We start from the raw sequence: 3,193 nt of genomic DNA, 5'->3' as shown, positions 1-3,193 counted from the left end.
CTCAGCTACTTGGGAAGCTGAGGCAGGAGGATCTCCTGAGCCCAGGAGTTAGAGGCTGCAGTGAGCTAAGATGGCACCACTGCACTCCAGCTTGGGCGACAGAGCAAGCAAGTCACCCTGGGTGACACAATCTCTAAAAAATGAGCGATACAAAAGAAAAGAAAAAAAGAAATGCAAGGAAAAGATCTGGTTTCCAATGCCAGCTTTGTCATTTTCCGATTGCAGGACCATCATGTAATTTCATCTGTAAGTAAGCATACAATTAGCTGCTGTCTGCTCCAAGTATTGCGATGCTCCAAAAAGCATTTGGTGAAGCACAGAATAAGCCATAAAGTGTTGTACAAATGACCTTACCTATTTGAGGGGTTTTTACTCATTTATTTTTGGTTGAGGCATAAGTTGGAAAGTTTTCTTTTGCCTCTAAATAAAGGAGAAAATGGAGAAATGGAACAAAGTATATAGGAGTCCAGAGGGCTAGTGTCTAAACCAGGGTAAGTCATCAAGTAGCTGTGTGGACTTAGCCAAGTAACACCCCTTCTCTGGACCTCAGCTTCTTTATCTACAAAATAAAAGAGTTACCCTAGATTGCATATGAGTTCCTTTTCAAATCTACCCTTCTAGAATGGACTTCATGTGGTCATAGACCTCATGGGGTTGGGCTTCCCAAAGCTGTAATGGTGAATTGATCTGCAGCCTCTCGATGTCTTTGGTCAGTGCTACATCTACCAGCATTTCTAGATGAAAAGTGTACAATGATTGATTACTTAGATGCTCCTCAGCACTGAGCAGTTTGGCATGGAGGCCTGGTGAAATGGTTTCAACTTGTGCCCCTGCCCAAATCTCATGTCAAATTGTAATCCCCAATGTTGGAGGAGGGGCCAGGTAGGAGGTGATTGGATCATGGGGGCACCCTTTCCCCTTGCTGTTCTCATGAAAGTGAGTGAGCTCTCTAGAGATCTGGTTATTTAAAAGTGCGTAGCACCTCCCAGTTCTCTCCTTTCTGCTCCAGCCACGTAGGATGTGCCTGTTTCCCCTTCACTTTCCGCCATGATTGTAAGTTTCCTGAGGCTCCCGGCAGCCATGCTTCCTGAACAGCCTGAGGAACCATGAGCCGCTTAAACTTCTTTTCTTTATAAATTATGCAGTCTCAGGTAGTTCTTTAGAGAAATGTAATAACAGACTAATATACCTAGCAATTTAGTGATTGACTAAATGTGTTCATTTTTCACCCAGACTTTTTGTCTTGTTTCCGATGCAGTCTCTTTCTCCAGACCTGGAAGAAATTGACCTATGATGATGTGAAGACCCAAAGTCCAGACCAAGAGAAAAGTGTGAGCTTGGAGCTCTTTATCATACAGAGACTTGGTGTAGATAAGAGGGGCAATGGGTTTCCTGCTTTCCCTCAAACTGTCCTGCTTTGGTCTCTCAGTCTAAATATATTCATGACTCTAGATGCTTTGAGCCCCTAGAAACTATAGAGACAAATGACATCCACAAGCAGTTTTACCTTGGCCCAGTCACCGGGTAACTCAAAGACTGCCTTCAGTCTCTCTTTCTTGGTTATCCCTTCCTCTGCTCTCTGTACATAGCTAGCATGGACATGCCTCAAGTTTCATTTCCTGACCTTTAGCTCTTCTTATTTATCATCTTCAGAAAATATGTTAATTTTCAGAACTTCAGGAATCACCTTAATCATAAGTATAGAGGGAGAATAAAAATGAACTTAAGTTGCCCTAACACCCCAAAGCAATGTCTTCTTCTAAGTGGGGGAAGCCCACTGCAACAATTGAAATGTGATATAGGTTCCAAATATCCACAAAAACAGTTATGGATATTGTAAAGCATAATATGTGTATATTGGTTTGGTGAAAGCAAATTTTGCCAAATTATGTAAAGATAGGAAATAAAGAAATAAAGAAAAGCCATTCATTCTGCTTAACAAATATTCTTTGAGGACTGTGTCAGTGCTCCATATTAGTCATCTAGTACCATAATGCAGAATAGCAACTCATCCCTCAAACCAGTGATTTAAAGCAATAAATATTTATTTAGCACATAATTCTGAGGGTCAGCAGTTTGAGCTGGGCTCAGCAGGGCAGCTCTTCTAGTCATGGCTGGACTCACTCATGCACTACAGTCGGTTGTTGTGTTGATTGAGGACTGGCTAGTCTGTGATGGCCTCAAATTAGAGAGCTTATCTTTGCTTATCATGGTCTCTCATCTGGTAGTCGATTATCAAGGCTAGTTCTCAAAGTCCTAGGCAGTGTTCCAAGAGAGAATGTGGGAATGTGGACAGTTTCATTAAGGCTTGGGCTTGGAAATGGCACAATATCGCTTCCATCATTTTCTGTTGGTCAAAGCAAGTCAAAGATTAGCTCAGATTCAAGGAATAATAAAATAGATTCAACTTTGTGATGGGTGGAGCTATAAAATCAAATTGCCTAGATTATGAATATAGAGAGAGGTGGAGAATTAGGACTATTCTTAAAGCAATCCATCACACCCCTTCCCATCTATTCTCTACCCTTCTCCACTCTAATTTCTACCCAAGAGCCTGACCTGTATGGGCTGCATCAATGAAGTCCCCTGTGCATTGCCTTCTGAATGGACACAGCCAGTGGGAAACTGGAGAGACGGAAGGTTGGAGCAAGAAAGAAGATAGTGCATTTGTTCCCTGGTTTCCTCAGGCTGGCTTTTTCATGCACGGAAGATCAGCGCTCCTCTCAAATTGGCCACCAGAGGTAGATGCCAGGTATTAATGGGGCCTGGGACAGTGTGGAAATGTGGGGCTGGGATGTGTTCTTCTAGTTGACATGGTTATGGAAGATCTTTCCAAGGAGGAGGGTTTTAAACAGGTCTGAATGCTGTGAAGAATGAGCCACGCAGGAAAATAAAGATGTGGGAGTAAAGCACTCCAGGCAGAGGGAACAGCCTATGAATGATGTTATAGACAAGACCCTTCACCCATCACAGCTCCCTATTCACAGCTGCTGGCAGGACATCTGATGAATACCCTTCCATCCTCCCACTCAGCATCTTCCCAAGTAAAACGATCATCTTTTTATCCTCCTGTAAGTCTCACTATCCTATTTCATCGTTCTTAGGATTTTCTGCATTAGAAATTTACAGTCAATTTTGGTGTCATTCCAATTCAATATTTGTTTATTTTTACATATGATGAATTAACTTAGAA

At 42.2% G+C, this 3,193-nt stretch overlaps 1 long non-coding RNA gene across 1 annotated transcript; it reads left to right on the top strand.

Annotated features, from left to right (window-relative positions):
* The first annotated feature begins 1,072 nt into the window (after positions 1-1,072).
* LOC105371545 (uncharacterized) lies at positions 1,073-2,746 on the top strand. The gene is made up of 3 exons (XR_934243.2): positions 1,073-1,151; positions 1,259-1,524; positions 2,552-2,746. It is a non-coding gene; the product is annotated as an uncharacterized LOC105371545 (long non-coding RNA).
* The last annotated feature ends 447 nt before the right edge of the window (positions 2,747-3,193 follow it).

This window comes from Homo sapiens, chromosome 17 (genome assembly GCF_000001405.40).
Source record: "Homo sapiens chromosome 17, GRCh38.p14 Primary Assembly".
NCBI lineage: Eukaryota > Metazoa > Chordata > Mammalia > Primates > Hominidae > Homo > Homo sapiens.
The sequence above is the reverse complement of the archived record's forward strand: the minus strand, read 5'-3'. Positions and strand labels throughout refer to the sequence as shown.